At 41.3% G+C, this 16,690-nt stretch overlaps 1 protein-coding gene and 1 pseudogene across 4 annotated transcripts in view, besides 3 other annotated features; one reads left to right on the top strand and one right to left on the bottom strand.

Moving 5' to 3' along the window:
* The window catches only part of DNAL1 (dynein axonemal light chain 1), a 58,747-nt gene extending 43,534 nt beyond the window's left edge, over window positions 1-15,213 (bottom strand). Inside the window, exons 1-4 of one of the 4 annotated variants that reach the window (XM_024449715.2) lie at window positions 15,100-15,213; window positions 6,984-7,029; window positions 5,314-5,352; window positions 1,243-1,352 (exon numbers count right to left, since the gene is read on the bottom strand). In XM_024449715.2, coding sequence (XP_024305483.1) covers window positions 1,243-1,277 — 35 coding nt within the window. In that variant the 5' untranslated portion in view covers window positions 1,278-1,352; window positions 5,314-5,352; window positions 6,984-7,029; window positions 15,100-15,213. Of the gene's footprint in view, window positions 1-1,242; window positions 1,353-5,313; window positions 5,353-6,983; window positions 7,030-8,871; window positions 9,028-15,099 lie in introns of those variants that run through there. The other 3 variants (NM_001201366.2, XM_017021679.3, NM_031427.4) reach the window with 3 other exon arrangements.
* On the top strand, window positions 539-635 carry RNU6-240P (RNA, U6 small nuclear 240, pseudogene; annotated as a pseudogene).
* Window positions 2,832-3,001: an enhancer, noted in NCBI's record as "experimental_36561 CRE fragment used in MPRA reporter constructs". NCBI's record gives its function as "activates a minimal promoter by MPRAs in K562 erythroleukemia cells, with activity observed for both the introgressed and non-introgressed 14:74123986 or rs62004913 variant alleles {active_cell/tissue: K562}" and the evidence as "EXISTENCE:reporter gene assay evidence [ECO:0000049][PMID:34662402]".
* Window position 2,916: a transcriptional cis regulatory region, noted in NCBI's record as "Neanderthal adaptively introgressed variant 14:74123986 (GRCh37/hg19 assembly coordinates) or rs62004913 in the experimental_36561 CRE". NCBI's record gives its function as "modulates activity of the experimental_36561 enhancer by MPRAs in K562 erythroleukemia cells {active_cell/tissue: K562}" and the evidence as "EXISTENCE:reporter gene assay evidence [ECO:0000049][PMID:34662402]".
* Window positions 11,981-12,150: an enhancer, noted in NCBI's record as "experimental_36559 CRE fragment used in MPRA reporter constructs". NCBI's record gives its function as "activates a minimal promoter by MPRAs in K562 erythroleukemia cells, with activity observed for the introgressed 14:74114837 variant allele {active_cell/tissue: K562}" and the evidence as "EXISTENCE:reporter gene assay evidence [ECO:0000049][PMID:34662402]".

Below are 16,690 nucleotides of genomic sequence, written 5' to 3'. Positions count from 1 at the left end.
CAGCACTTTGGGAGGCCAAGGTGGGTGGATCACTTGAGGTCAGGAGTTCGAGACCAGCCTGGCCAACATGGTGAAACCCCATCTCTACTAAAAATACAAAAAAAATTAGATGGGTGTGGTGGCAAGTGCCTGTAGTCCCAGCTACTTGGGAGGCTGAGGCAGGAGAATTGCTTGAACCCAGGAGGCAGAGGTTCCAATGAGCCGAGATCACAGCACTGCACTGCAGCCTGGGTGACAAAGAGTTTCTCAAAAAAATAAAGTATAATTTGATCCCAATTAGAATTTGTTTTTAAAAGTTAGAAGGCTCTACAAAAATGCTAGCACTGGTTCTCACACAGTGCTGTGATTTTGGTTGATGTTAATTCCTTTTCTTTGTGCTGCTTATATTTTCCAGATGTTTTATAATGTGTTTTTTATAATTTTAAACTTTTTTTTTAAGGGGTATCTCTTAGGCATGTAGTAAGAAAATACAGTTTTGACTTTGTGGATAATTTTACAAGAGAAAGTAGTAGATTTCATAAATGTCATAGTTTATTGTGGTGCTCACTTCAGCAGCCATGTACTAAACTGGAACGATAGATTAGCATGGCCCCTGCACAAGGATGACATACAATCGTGACGCATTCCATATTTAAAAAATATATAGTTTATTGTGTTATTTAGCTTCTCCCAAAAGACTAGGAGATGTATATTTTCAAACTCATTATAAAAACTGTACTAAAAATATTGTACTGTTTGGCTGGGCGTGGTGGCTCATGCTGGTAATCTCAGCACTTTGGGAGGCCGAGGTGGGCGGATCACAATGTCAGGAGATCAAGATCATCCTGGCTAACATGGTGAAACCCTATCTCTACTAAAAATACAAAAAAATTGCTGGGCGTGGTGGCATGTGCCTTGTAGTCTCAGCTACCCGGGAGGCTGAGGCAGGAGAACTGCTCGAACCCGGGAGGCGTAGGTTGCAGTGAGCCGAGATCATGCCATTGCACTCCAGCCTGGGCGACAGAGCCAGACCCCATCTCAAAAAAAAAAAAAAAAAATTGTACTATACTGTTCAATATTTTCTATTAATAATCCTATAAACCAGTCATTTTTCATGTTTGACCTTGCCAAAGAGAGAATTACACTAAGCAAACAAAAAATAAATGAAGACCACAGAAAACAAACATATTTTCCTACTTTGTGTGTTTAAGAAAAGAAAGGGAAACCTAACAGCAATACTGGAAGGATGAAAAGAGAACTTACTCGCAATTAGCAAGCATGGACAAGGATGCATCCATCTTCTCTATAGGGGGAATCTGGGCATAAAGTTTTATCTCTTTGGCTTCAGATGGCCTCTGGCCAGTTTTCTCTTCCTATGAGAAAAATACATTTGGAAGAAATAACCCATGATTGCAATGTGGAAACAAAAGAGGCCAGAATTTCCTAAGGCTTTTCCATGTTTATTTCAAGACAATTGCTAGAATTTAGCAAACTGTTTAATAATTCTTTACCATTAACTTATTGAAAACATTTACCTACTCACCCTGATAATCAGATTTATATGTGGCTGAATCAGATAACTATTAGGTCCCTACCAAATGAAAATGAGGAGAAAATAAAAAAACTTTTATTTTTGTGGTATTTAAAATTTGAAAATGACACAAACAAATGCAAAGATATCTCATATTCATGGATCAGAACAATTAATATAATTAAAATGACCATACTTCCCAATGCAAGCTACAGATTCAATGTAATTCCTATCAAAATACCAATGTCATTTTTCACAGAATAGAAAAAAATCCTAAAATTCATATGGAACCAAAAAAGAACACAAATAGCCAAAACAATCCTGAGCAAAAAGAACAAAATTGGATGTTATCACACTACCTGATTTCAAGATATATTATAAGGCGAACACAACCCAAACAGCACGGTATTGGTATAAAAGCAGATACACAGACCAATAGAATGGAATGGAGAATCCAGAAATAAGTCCATGTATTTACAGCCAACTGATTTTTGACAAAGGCACCAAGAAAATACATTGGGAAAAGGATACCCTCTTCAATAAATGGTGCTGGAAAAATTGGATATCCAAATGCAGACAAATGAAACTGGACCCCTTTCTCTCACCATATGCAAAAATCAACCATGATGAATTAAAGACTTAAAGGTAAGACTCAAAACTATAAAGCCACTGGAAGAAAATACAGGGAAAACACTTCAGGACATTGGTCTAGGAGAAGATTTTACGGCTAAGACCTCAAAAGCACAGGCAACAAAAACAAAAATAAACAATGGAACTAAAACTAAAAAGCTTCTGGGCAGGCGTAGTGGTGCACGCCTGTAATCCCAGCACTTCGGGAGGCCGAGGAGGGTGGATCACCTGAGGTCAGGAGTTTAAGACCAGCCTGGCTGACATGGTGAAACACTGCCTCTACTAAAAATACAAAAAAGTAGCCTGGTGTGGTGGCACGTGCCTGTAATCCCAGCTACGTGGGAGGCTGAGGCAGGAGAATTGCTTGAACCCGGGAGGCAGAGGTTGCAGTGAGCTGAGATCGTGCCATTGTACTCCAGCCTGGGCAACAGAGCGAGACTCCATCTCAAAATGTAAAAATAAAACTTCTGCACAGCAGAGGAAACAATAAACAGAGTGAGGAGAAAACCTGTTGAATGGGGGAAAATATTTGCAAACTATTCATCTGACGCAGGAACTCAACACAATGGTAAAATGACAAACAGGCACAGTGGCTCATGCCTGTAATACCAGCAATCTGGGAGGCCAAAGCAGGAGGACTGCTTGAGCCCAAGAGTTGGAAACCAGCCTGAGCAACATAGCAAGACCTCATTTCTATAAATAATTTAAAAATCAGCTAGATGTGGTGGCACACGACTGTGGTCCACCTACTTGGGAGGTGGAGGCTGAGGTGGGAGGATCACTTGAGCTCACTGCACTTCAGCCTGGAGGAACAGAGACCCTGTCCCCAGAAAAACAAACGAATTAACAAAACAAAACTAGAAGCTCAGGAGCCATTTCCTTTGTTTTCCTATGTTTTGTATAACCTACTGCAGTGTAAGACACACAAAACTCCTTTAAAAAACTTAAATCACCACATGTCAATAATAGAAAATAGGCCGGGCACAATGGCTCATGCCTATAATCCTAGCACTTTGGGAGGCTGAGCAGGGAGGATCACTTGAGCTCAGGAGTTTGAGACCAGCCTGGGCAATATAGTGAGACCCCGTCTATACTTTCACAGAATTAAATTAAAAGAAAAATAAAATATATTAAAATAATAATAATGATAGAAAATATACAATCAGTTGTAAAAAGATCTAATACATATCCACTCAGTGCTTATTTTTATGACATATATTTGTAGGTTAGAGGAGGAGAAATTGACATCTAGTAGATCCTCAATAAATGTTGGGTAAATCAATGAAAAAGTGAGATTGATGTCTTTGAATAATCTTAAAGTCAAAAATGCATGGGCCAGGCACAGTGGCTCATGCCTGTAATCCCAGCACCATGGGAGGCTGAGGCAAGAGGGTCACTTGAGCTCAGGAGTTCAAGACCAACCTGGGCAACATAATGAGACTCTGTCTCTACAACAACAGCAACAACAACAAATTAGCCAGGTGTGGTGATGATGCACACCTGTAGTCCCAGCTACTCAGGTGTTTGAGCCTAGGACACTGAGGCTGCAGTGAGCTATGATTGTGCCACTGCACTCCAGCCTGGGTGACAGAGCGAGACACTGTCTCAAAAAAAAAAAAAAAAAGTCAAAAATGTATGGCCATATTGTAATCTAGAAATAGACTCTACCAGCCAAAACAAAAAAAAACACTAGTTATTGTAAGTAAAATAAAATCTCAAAATCCAATTCAAGGAAAATGAAATCTGGTACTAAGTCTACTTCATATGCTTTTTTTCCTTAAGATTTTTCATTAAATATTTAACAAAACAGAAATAAATTATAAAATACATTTAAAGTAAATGAGAAATTTATAAGCACTAAAACAAGAATTCAAGTATTTCATTATTTTATCGACTTTTGTCTATTTTCCTCAGACACCAAAGCTTCTGAAAGCCTTTTTATTCAAAGCCTACTTACAGAAGCAAAAGGTACATTATTATGCAAAAAAACTACACTAGATCTTAGCCAAAAGGCAGAGAAGTGATGCAAAAAAACTACTGACAACATAGACAAATAAGTTTATGGGCACAGAAATTCAGGAGCCATCTTTGTACTCTATAGAAATTCTGTCTATAATGCTGAATTGTAACTGTTCAAACTTTATAGAATGTTATATAATACTGAAAATATAATTTATATATAATGCATGTCTTTTACAATGTAGTTTCCTTTCTAGTATTGCTGCTTGAGTATTCAGGGTTTTTTTCAGTTGTCTATGCATGATTTACATTGTCCACAATGATTGCCTCTGTACTAACCTCCACGAGGCTAAAACCACCTTCTAAAGCCTAGATAATCCACAACTCATATGACTCCAGCATATGAAAATGGTATGTAGCTTAGTGATGATAACAGTTGAAAAAGAAAATGTAGGCCGGGCGCGGTGGTTCACTCCTGTAATCCCAGCACTTTGGGAGGCTGAGGCAGGCAGATCACATGAGGTCAGGAGTTCGAGACCAGCCTGACCAACACGATGAAACACCATCTCTACTAAAAATACAAAAAAAATTAGCCGGGCATTGTGGCGCGTGCCTGTAATCCAGCTACTCGGGAGGCTGAGGCAGGAGAATCGCTTGAACCCGGGAGGCGGAGGTTGCAGTGAGCCGAGGTCACACCACTGCACTCCAGCCTGGGCGACAAGAGCGAAACTCCGTCTCAAAAAAAAAAAAAAAGAAAAGAAAAAGAAAAAGAAAATGTACTAACACAGAAATTCCAGCAATTTTATAGCAATAGGTAAAATTGGCCTTTCCATATTTAAATCTTCCAGTGGTCAGATTTTTTAAATTGAAATTTTTATTATGATATTTAAAGTTTGTCCAGTTCCCCCAAGGGTAACATTTTATGACTACAGTATAATATAACTATGGTATTGCTATTGATACAATCCACTGATTTTATTCAGATTTTCCCAAGTTTGCTTGTGCTCATGTGCATGTATGACTGTGTGTATGTGTGCATTAAGTTTTACACAATTTTATCATATGTGTAAGTTCATGCATCCACCACCATAGACAAGATAGCTGAATAGTTCCAATACCAAAAGGATCCTTTGTATTAAATAGCTAGATTTGAATAACTATCCAAAATTTTTCCTTGTACAGTTTCTAAAAGAAGGAAAAACTCATGTACTCACCCATCTCGCTAAGGCTTCTTTGATTGTTGTTGCTTTCGCCTTTAAAAAAAAAAAAAAGAAAGAAAAGAAAAAACAAAGTTGTATGTATGTATGAATGTATGTATGTATGTATGTATGTATTTATTTTGAGACAGAATCTTGCTCTGTCACCCAGGCTGGAGTGCAATGGCATGATTTCCGCTCACCACAACCTCTGCCTCCTGGGTTCAAGCGATTCTCCTGCCTCAGTCTCCCAAGTAGCTGGGACTACAGGTGCGCGCCACCACTCCCGGCTAATTTTTTGTATTTTTAGTAGAGATGGGGTTTCACCATGTTGGCCAGGGTGGTCTCGAACTCCTTGACCTCATGATCTGCCTCCCTCGGCCTCCTAAAGTGCTGGGATTACAGGCGTGAGCCACCGTGCCCAGCCCCAATTTGTCTTTATTGGTGTAATTTGTTGATTAACTTTTCAAGCAATAACTATTAGCCTTGGCTTCTACCATTAAAATGATTTCTTTCTTTGAGACTTTATATGCAAAGAGGACGTTTTAATTTCCTGAAATCAAAATGATTTAAATATCTCTGAGAAAAAATAAGGAAATCATTATGTAACACCCATACACTTCCCTCCCACTTGGTTTACAAAAAATATGTAGCTTTCAATACTTGATATTAAAATACATCTTATTTCATTGATTCTAAGGATCTACATCTTTCTTACATTTTAATATTGAAATTTGGATACATCTTATAATCAGTAACAATTTACAACTGCTGTGGGTAGGTGGCAGTGGTGAAATTTTAGAAAAATATTAACCACTTTATTTCATATCATATATTCCTTTTTATGTTTGCAAAGGATGAGGATAAAGGATAGGATAAAAATCTGTATGTCTACATACATTTAAAAGAACTCTATCAATAAGTACAAAATAAAAATTTTAAATGACAATAAAGTATTTGTCATAGTTCAATTCAAACCATTTTTTTCTTAGTAAAACATAAAATAATGTTGCATCTTATAATTAATAGCAGCTTAGATTCAATTTAATATATTTAAAACTCTAAAGGTACCCAACGGAAGATATCCTTAATGAATTACTGCTGGTGCTCTTTTTTTAAAAAAGAACCCCAAAGAATAACAAAAGAAAAGTTTTTAAACTATGTGAACAAATGTGAACCTGAAAGAATCAATTCTTCAAGACGAATCCTGAGTAGTTAACTGGGCCTAAATTTAAAACAGGGCCTAAGCTAGGCACAGTGTCTCACATCTGTAATCCCAGCACTTTGGGAGGCCAAGGTGGGAGGATCACTTGAGGCCAGGAGTTCAATACCAGCCTGGGCAACATAGAGAGACTCCATCTCTACAAAACAAAATTAAAAAAAAATTAGCCTGGCATGGTGGTGTATGCCTATAGTCCTAGCTATTTGGGAGGCTGAGGTGGGATGATCGATTGGACCCAAGAGTTCGAGGTTACAGTGAGGGATGATCGCACCACCACATTCCAGCCTGGGCAACAGGGCAAGCCTGTCTCTAAAAAAATTAAATTAGATTAAATCAAATTAATTAGAGCCAAACAGCCATCTGCTTACTAAAGGTCACACGCATACTCTGAGTTCCCCCCCAAAACACACCTCTGTTCAACTTTGGGACTTCCAGAGTTCATATGAACCAACCAATCAGAACTCACCTGAATCAACCAATCAGCTCACTTGACTCAACCAATCAAGGCCCAGCTGTATCAACAAACCAGAACTGAATGAGTTTGAATCCTTTATTTGCATAAACAGACCTGACTGAGAAGGTGGGCAGGAACTTTTGCTATAAAACTCAAGCCCTCCCTTTGTTCTCTGGAACACACCTTCCTTCTATACCTAAGGATGCATCTAGCCATATGCAAACTGTTCATTGAAATAAAGTCTCTTCCCTCCATTTTCCTTTTGAGAGAATTTTTGTTCACAAATATATACCATTATGTCTAGAAAGTAAAGACATACTAATAAGCAACCCTTGGGTTAAAAAGAAAATTATAAAATAATGAAAGAAAAAAAGTCAAAATTTGGGGAATATAATACTAAGAAGGAAACTTACAGATTCAAATATATTTGTCAAAAAATAAGAGATAGAAAACAAATGAGATAGGCGTTCACACATTTGGCAAAGTACATCATTACAAACCCAAAGAAGGTAGAAGGAAATACAAAGGAAAAAGTCAATGAAAAACAGAACGAGGGGATAAAATAATTAACAAAACTAAAAGTTGGTTCTTAAATCCCTGGCAAGCCTGATTGAGCAAAAAAGAAGGCAATACAAATTGAAAATATAAAATGAGCCAGGCATGGTGGTTCATGCCTGTAATCCCAGCGCTTTGGGAGGCTGAAGTAGGAGGACTGCTTGAGCCCAGGAGTTCGAGACCAGCCTGGGCAAGGCAGTGAGACTTTGTCTCTACAAAAAATAAAAAAAAATTAGACCGTGGTGGCACTGGGCGTGGTGGCACATGACTGTGGTGCCAGCTACTCTGGAGGCTGAGGTGGGAAGATCATTTGACCCAGGGAGAGAGGGTGCAGTGAGCCAAGATTGCACCACTACACTCCATCCTGGGCAACAGAGCAAGACCCTGTCTCAAAAAATGTATATAACCTGAACAACATAGCAAGACCCCGTCTCTACAAAAAAATACAAATATTAGCCAGGCATAGTGGAAGGCACCTGTAGTTACAGCTACTGGGGGGCTGGGGAACTGGGCAGGGGCTGAGGCGGGAGGACCACTAGAGCCCGGGAGGTCAGGGCTGCATGAGCCTAAATGGTGCCACTGCACTCAGCCTGGGTGACAAAGCAAGATCTTGTCTCAAAAAACAAACAAACAAAAACCACACATACACATATACAGAAAAAGAGAGAGAATACAGAGAAATAACTATAGACACAGAGATTTTAAAAATAAAATATGGCTGGGCACAGTGGCTCACGCCTGTAATCCTAGCACTTTGGGAGGCTGAGGCGGGTAGATCACTTGAGGTCAGGAGTTTGAGACCAGGCTGGCCAACATGGTGAAACCCCGTCTCTACTAAAAATACAAAACTTAGCTGGGCATGGTGATGTGCACCTGTATTTCCAGCTACTTGGGTGGCTGAGGCAGAAGAATTGTTTAAATCCAGGAGGTGGAGGTTGCAATGAGCCGAGATTGCGGCATTGCACTGCAGCCCGGGCAGCAGAGCAAGACTCTTGTCTCCAAAATAAAAAATAAATATCGTAAGCAAACATATGGCAATAAGGTTTAAAACCCAGACAAGGCATACATTTCTATAAAAAACATAAAAGTGTCAAAACTGTCATAAGAATCAAGAAAATTTGAATAGACCAATACTATTTAAAATATTAAAATGATAGATTTACCCTTATCCTCTTCCCCCAATACTCCAAGCCTAGACACTTTTACAATTGAGTTCTACTAAGCTTTCAAGGGTATTCCCTGTAACAAGTTGTTTCAGAAACCAGAAAAAGAGGGAAAGTTGCCAACTTATTTTAAGAGGCTAGTATAACCTTGATGCCATAACCACATAAGGAGCCCAATTTACTTTTCAACATGGATTTGAAAATCCTAGATACAATATTATATCTTCAAGCTGGACATGGTGGCTCATGCCTGCAATCCCAGCACTATGGGAAGCCAAGGCTGGAGGATCACTTGAGGCCAGGAGTTTGAGACCAGCCTGGACAACACAGCAAGACCCCATCTCTACAAAAAGAAAAAGAAACAGAAAAAAAAATATTAGATTGTCAAAGCCAATGGTGTTTATTGAACCATGATCAAGAATAGATTATCCCAAGAGTACAAGGAACACAACAAAAGAATCTATAAATATAACTAATTAATGGATTAGAGGGGAAAGTCACATTTATTTCAATAAGCATGGAAAAAGTACTTGATAAAGTTCTACATTTGATGTTAAAAGCTCTCAGCAGCTGGGTTTGGTGACACATGCCTGTAGTCCCAGCTACTCAGGAGGCTGAGGCAGAAGGACTGCTGGAGCCCATAATTGAAGGCCAGTCTAGGCAATATAGTAAGACCCCAGCTCTTTAAAAAATAAAATAAAAGCTCTCAGCTAAAAATTAAAGGGCAATTGCCTGGCCAGGCACAGTGGCTCACACCTGTAATCCCAGGACTTTTGGAGGCTGAGGTGGGAGGATTTCTTGAGGTCAGGAGTTTGAGAACAGCCTGGGCACCATAGCAAGACTCCCGTCTCCAAAAATAAAATAAAAAATAAATAAAAAGAAAGGGAAATTCCTTGATAAAAGCTATATAACAAAACTCTATAACAAACACCATACTTAATGGAGAAATGCATTTATTTCAGCAAATATTAATTGTCTATTATCTACCAAGCATTCCTCTATGTGTTTAGGTATATCAATGAACAAAACAGAGATTCCTGCCTTCATGGAGCTTACATCTATTAGAAGGAGCAGATGATAAAAATATATACAGTTGGCCCTCCATATCCTCAGGTTCCACATCTGCAGATTCAACCCACCAAGGATAGAAAACATGTGAAAAAAATCCACTAAAAAGTAACAATAACAACAATAAAAAATAATACAAATTGTAAAAACAATGGCCAGGTGCAGTGGCTCATGCCTATAATCCCAGTACTTTGGGAGGCTGAGGTCAGAGGATCACTTGAGGCCAAGAGTTGAAACTAGCCTGGACAATATAGTGACACCCCATCTCTACAAAAAATAAAGATAAAAAAATTAGCCAGGCAAGGTGGCATGTACCTGTAGTCCTAGGTACTCAGGAGGCTGAGGCAGGGGGACTATTTGAGCCCAGGAGTTCAAGGTTGCAGTGAGCCATGATTATGCTACTATACTCCAGCCTGGGCTACAGAGTTAGACCCTATCTCAAAACAAAACAAAACAAAACAAAAATACAGTATAACAACTATTTAAATAATATTTACATTGTATTGCATAGTATAAGTAACCTAGAGATGATTTAAAGTATACAGGAGGATGTGTGTAAGTTATATGCAAATACCACACCATTATATGTAAGGGACTTGAATGTCCATAGATTTCAGTATCCTAGGGAGTCCTGGAACCAATCCCACATGAATACCAAGGGAGAACTGCATACAATAAGAAAATTATATAGTATATTAGAAGGTAACAATTACTAAGGAAAAAGAAAACACTGGAGGTGAGTAAAGGGTATCAGAATGTATGTAAATGTGTGTGGAGGATGTTAGTTTCAAATAAAATGGTCAAAGTGGGCCTAACTAGGAAGGTAACATTAAATATATTCCCTTTAGAAATCTCAAACAGCCCGGGCGCGGTGGCTCACACCTGTAATCCCAGCACTTTGGGAGGCTGAGGCGGGCGGATCACGAGGTCAGGAGATCGAGACCATCCTGGCTATCATGGTGAAACCCCATCTCTACTAAAAATACAAAAAATGTGCCGGGCGTGGTGGCAGGCGCCTGTAGTCCCAGCTACTCGGGAGGCTGAGGCAGGAGAATGGCGTGAACCCGGGAGGCGGAGCTTGCCGTGAGCCGAGATCGCGCCACTGCACTCCAGCCCTGGCGACAGAGCGAGACTCCGTCTCAAAAAAAAAAAAAATGTCAAACACATCAGCCGGGCACTGTGGCTCATGCCTGTAATCCCAGCACTTTGGGAGGCTGAGCTGGGTGGATCATGAGGTCAAGAGTTCGAGACCAGCCTGGTCAACATGGGGAGACCCCCGTCTCTACTAAAAATATGAAAATTAGCCAGGCGTGGTGGCGGGTGCCTGTAATTCCAGCTATTCGGGAGGCTGACGAGGAGAATTGCTTGAACCCAGGTGGTGGAGGATGCAGTGAGCCCAGACTGCACCACTGCACTCCAGCCTGGGCAACAGAGTGAGACTCTGTCTCAAAAAAACAAAAACAAAAACAAATCTCAAGCACATCAAGGATCACTTCTAATCACCACTATGAATAATAATTATTATTTATAATAATTAATATATATATTTATTATTCTTCTGGCCGAGAGAAGATATTTTCAACATGAAACCAATGAGGACCAATATTTAGAATACACAAGGAATGCCTAAAATTCGAAAACAAAAAGAAAAATGGAAAAATTGGTAAAAATATGAACAGAAAATTCACAGAAACTGAAACCCAGATGACTAATAAGAATATCAAGAAGGCTGGGCATGGTGGCTCACGCTTGTAATCCCAGCATTTTGGGAGGCCGAGGTGGCCATATCGCCTGAGTCCAGGAATTCAAGACCAGCTTGGGCAACATGGAGAACCCTCTCTCTACTAAAAACACAAAAAAATTAGCCAGGAGTGGTGGTGCAGGCCTGTAGTCCCAACTACTCGCAGGGGCTGAGGTGGGAGGATCCCGGGAGGTGGAGGAGCCCTGATGGGGCCACTGCACTCCAGACCAGGCAACAGAGCAAGATCTTGTCCCCCCAAAAAACAAAAACAAACAAACAACAAATATATATATATATGAAATGAGGTGTTATAACACATCGAGAATCAGAAAAATGCAAAGTAAAACAATGGAATACTAAAACACACCCTCGGATTGGCAAAAGTTAGAAAATTGGTGAGCACATAAAGAAAGGGGAACTCTTGGCCAGGCGCGGTGGCTCACGCCTGCAATCCCACCATTTTGGGAGGCCTGGGTGGGCAGATCACTTGAGGTCAAGAGTTTGAGACCAGCCTGGCCAACATAGGGAAACTCCATCTCTACTGAAAATACAAAAATTAGCCGGGCGTGGTGGTGAGTGCCTGTAATCCCAGCTACTCGGGAGGCTGAAGCAGAAGAATCACTTGAGCCCTAGGGGCAGAGGCTGCAGTGAGCCGAGATTGTGCCACTGCACTCCAGCTTGGGCGACAGAACGAGACTCTGTATCAAAACGAACAAACAAGAAGAAATGGAACTCTCCTGCACTGCCGGAGGAAGTAAACACTGGTCAAGCCATTCTGGAAAGCAGCCTGAAAAGTACCTAGGCAAATTAAGTATACATAGACCCTATGACGGTACAATCCCACTCCTGGGTGTGTTTCCAAGAGAAATCTTTTGCATGGGTCCATAAAAAAGTATTTTCACAACACTGTTAGTAGAAAAAGAGTTGAAGCCATCTAGCTGTTTATTGCAGCAATATAAATTTGTATAAGGTTTAACTGGTTTTCCTATGGATAGAAGGAGTCAAAAACTCAAATGCCTGAAGGTCCTCATGGACTTAACTAATAAGTAAAACTGGCCAACTAAGGACAGGACTAGTGTAAAGAAGATAACCTCTACTCAGCTCCAGACAACTGTTAGCAGGTGGGACTTGGGGAAAAGAGCTACCCTAATACACCATACTTCTTCAAATTTAAAAACTCCATTGAGTAACACCTTTATTTTATGTATCATTAAGTAAGAAAAGATGCTGCCAGTTATAACACACTATATCTCAGTAATACGAAAATGTGAAAAAAAGTGTCCAATGGTGAAACATATTTCTTTTTCTTTTTCTTTTTCTTTTTTTTTTTTTTTTTGAGACAGAGTCTTGCTCTGTCGCCCAGGCTGGAGTGCAGTGGCTCAATCTCAGCTCACTGCAAGCTCCGCCTCCCGGGTTCACGCCATTCTCCTGCCTCAGCCTCCCGAGTAGCTAGGACTATAGGCGCCTACCACCACGCCTGGCTAATTTCTTTTTTTTTCTATTTTTAGTAGTGATGGGGTTTCACCATGATAGCCAGGATGGTCTCGATCTTCTGACCTCGTGATCCGCCCACCTCGGCCTACCAAAGTGCTGGAATTAAAGGTGTGAGCCACCGTGCCCTGCCCCAATATTTATTTTTCAAGAGAAATTGGAAATCTTGGTTTTAATGTGAAATATCATCATTTGAAGACATTGTCCTGAAGTGGCAGGTCATAAGGGGGAAAAAAAGACACTGAAAGATAAATTTTTTTAAATTGAAATACTATGTGGGTCAATATTTCTGGAGGGACCCAGGTCTGCTAGTTTGCAGACTAAGCCAGTTCTAAATACAGTCATGAGCTGCATAACAAGTTTCAGTTAACAACCAACCACATATAAGACAGTGGTTACATAAGATTGTAATACTGTAACTTTTCTATGTTTGTTTGTTTGTTTATTTGAGACAGGGTCTTGCTCTGTTGCTCAGGCTGGAGTGCAGTGGTGCGATCTCAGCTCACTGCAACCTCCACCTCCCAGGTTCAAGAGATTCTCATGCCTCAGCCTCCTGAGTAGCTGGGATTACAGCCACTCGCCACCATGCCCCGCTAATCTTTGTATTTTTAGTAGAGGCGGAGTTTCACCATGTTGGCCAGGTGGATCTTGAACTCCTGACCTCAGGTGATCTGCCCGCCTCGGCCTCACAAAGTGCTGGGATTACAGGCCTCTGGGATTACAGGTGTGAGCCACCACACCCTGGCCGCTTTTCTATGTTTAAATACACAAATACCTTGTTTCAACTGCCTACAGTATTCAGTATAGTAAAATGCTGTAAAACTTTGTAGCCTAGGAGCAATAGCCTACACCATCTGGTTTTTGTAAGCATATTCTATGATGTTTGCAAGGCAAAACTGCCAATAATGTGTTTGTTAGAATGTATCCCTGTCATCATTAAGTGACTTATAACTGTACTGGTTCTGATTCTCTATTTGAAGATTTTCAACAATCACCATGGTTCATACTTTCATAAATATTTAGGTCTGAGCCTTTCTTCACCTGAATATAAACCTAGGTTCCAGAACTTTTAACTTTCCTTGGCAGTGATTTTCAGCTAACTGCTTGGGGAACAAAGTAAGGAAAGCAGGGGGGAAACTACTTTTTAAAGAGTGGTATTTCATCTTGTTGAGGGCAGGCATGACTTCCTCATCATTTCCATCTCCTGGGCTCAATTTCTGCCCACTTATATAGCACTGGAATCACAAAAAGAAGACAAGTAATTATGCTTCTTCTTCATAAACATCTCTATCCAGTAGGACATCACATACTTTGCTCAATAGCTCTGGCTGGGTCTGCAATCCTTTTCAAACGACTAGTTAGAACTACCAAGTATGTAAGCAAGAGAGTGAACACATCAAGTAAGAGTTGAGGAGCATCTCTAGGTAAAACCATTACTTCATAAAGAGCTCTCATTGGATAGACAGCTGGTAGATTTCAAACCTAAGGCAACAGCATTTCTCAGTGTGGTGGGATGCCCTCCAATTTTATAATCACTTGAGGTGTGTTGTCGAAATGCACATTCCTGAAACCCCCAATCATATTAAAAATTCACAATCTGCATTCCAACAAGCCCATACCTATGCATACTGAAATTTGAGAATCACTGCTCTAATATATCCATCAGAGTGTGCTTTACAGTGTCACCTAATAACTGCCCTCGTAGTCATTCAGAAGGCAACCTGGGTACATCACAGGTTACGAAAACTGCTGCAATCCGTGTTATACAGAACCCTCTGGTAACCAGCCCCTCCCTGCATCTCGACGGGGGGGTCACTAAAATTACTTCTATGTAAAGAGATATCTTTATCTACACTCTCCTTCCCATCACCCTTCCCACTCCAATACGCTCTTTTTAGAGAATTTCCTGCTCTTCGCCCTCCCTTTTCTCCTGTCTGAGTCCCTCCACCTTAACCCAACCTCCGATCCACCCCAGGCCGCCCTCACCACAGACCACCCCCGGCCAGGGCTTCTCTTTCGCCTCGGGCCCCTGACTCCACAGAGCTAGCGTCAGCTACCGGCTCCCTTCCGCTGTTCAAGGACCCCCAGACCCTCAACACTCCACAGTCACCCTTTTCCACTCCCAATCTTCTCTCAGCTTTGGCTACGCGGCCCGAAAGGTACTCACCATTCCGGCGGTTGCTACTGTCACTGCTCTGGTTGCTAGGGCCCGCGGGGTCAGTGCGCGTGCGCACTTCTCGGCGCTCTCGGCGGAAGCCCTATCCCCGGCAGCGGTCCTTTCTCTCCGCCCTCAGGGTGGTGCGAGCGGGGCATTGTGGGACTGCGTGGCGGCCGCCGGGGTCCTCCCGTCCGGCTGTTGCTGGCTGCCCTTTTGCTTCCTTAGGTCTTAACCCCGCACAGGAGTAGTCAGGACCGAAAGCAATTTCAGCTGATCTGTAGTGACTTGTCCGCCTAAAGTTAAAAACCTTAAAACGTCCCCCTAACAACTACCCTTTTCATAAAATAATGTTCTTAATTCCTTTGCCCTAACGATGGCGTTTCCCACCCTTTTCCGGACGAGGGGAGAATAAGCGGCTTGCTGTAATTTCCCTCTCCATCCCATCCCACTGAGAATACCAGAGCCAAACTCCACCCATTTTATGTTTCTTTACCCCGGATCCTCCAGGGAGCCAGAGGCAGCTGAAAGCTCGGTTCCACATTTTAAATATCACAAATTGTTGGTTTTAATCACCAGGGTGTCTTTTTTTCCCCACCTACCAAATGAGCTAAAAATTATTAACAATAATAATAATTCATAGAGTTGCTAGGGGTATGGTGAAGTAGGGACACACAAATACGCTGCTGTTTATAATTGATACAGCCTTTCTGGAAGGCTGTTGGCTGTTCAAAAACTTTTGCACCCTTTGTGATCCAGCAGTTCCACTTCCAGGACTTTATCCTGAGCACAGAGATGTATGTTCAAAGCTTTAATAGAAAAAAAAAAATCAACTCAATTATCAACAAAAGAGAATTGGTGGCCGGGACTGGTGGCTCACGCCTGTAATCCTAGCACTTTAGGAGGCTGAGGAGGGCGGACCACTTGACCACTTGAGCCCAGCCTGGCCAACATGGTGAAACCCCGTCTCTACTAAAAATACAAAAATTAGCCGGGTGTGGTGGCACGCGCCTGTAGTCCCAGCAATTCCGGAGCCTGAGGCACGAGAATTGCTTGAACCCGGGAGGCGGAGGTTGCAGTGAGCCGAGATCGCGCCATTGCACTCCAGTCTGGGCAACAAGAGTGACACTCCGTCTCAAAACAAACAAACAAACAAACAAAAAGAGAGAGAAAATTGGTTAGTAGTATTGAACATCCAATGCAATAATGTACTTACACTAAAAAAGTACAATTGACTTGCTGAAAGGCATCTATTCACATCCAAAGATAGTCATATTTCAAGTAAAAATAGAAGTTACCAAACAAAATAGTTGGTACGATTTTCCTTTAAAATTATACATAGTGGCCTGGTGCAGTTTGTTCATGCCTGTAATCCCAGAAATTTGGGAGGCCAAAGTAAGAGGATCCCTTGAACCCAGGAGTTCAAGACCAGCCTGGGCAACGTAACAAGACCCTGGCTCTGTAAAAAATAAAAATTAGCGAGGCATGGTGGTACAACACCCATAGTCCCAGCTACTGGGGAGACTGAAGCAGGAGGATCATTTGA

Source organism: Homo sapiens, chromosome 14 (genome assembly GCF_000001405.40).
Source record: "Homo sapiens chromosome 14, GRCh38.p14 Primary Assembly".
Classification (NCBI taxonomy): Eukaryota; Metazoa; Chordata; class Mammalia; order Primates; family Hominidae; genus Homo; species Homo sapiens.
This window is presented reverse-complemented; position numbering and strand designations above follow the sequence as displayed.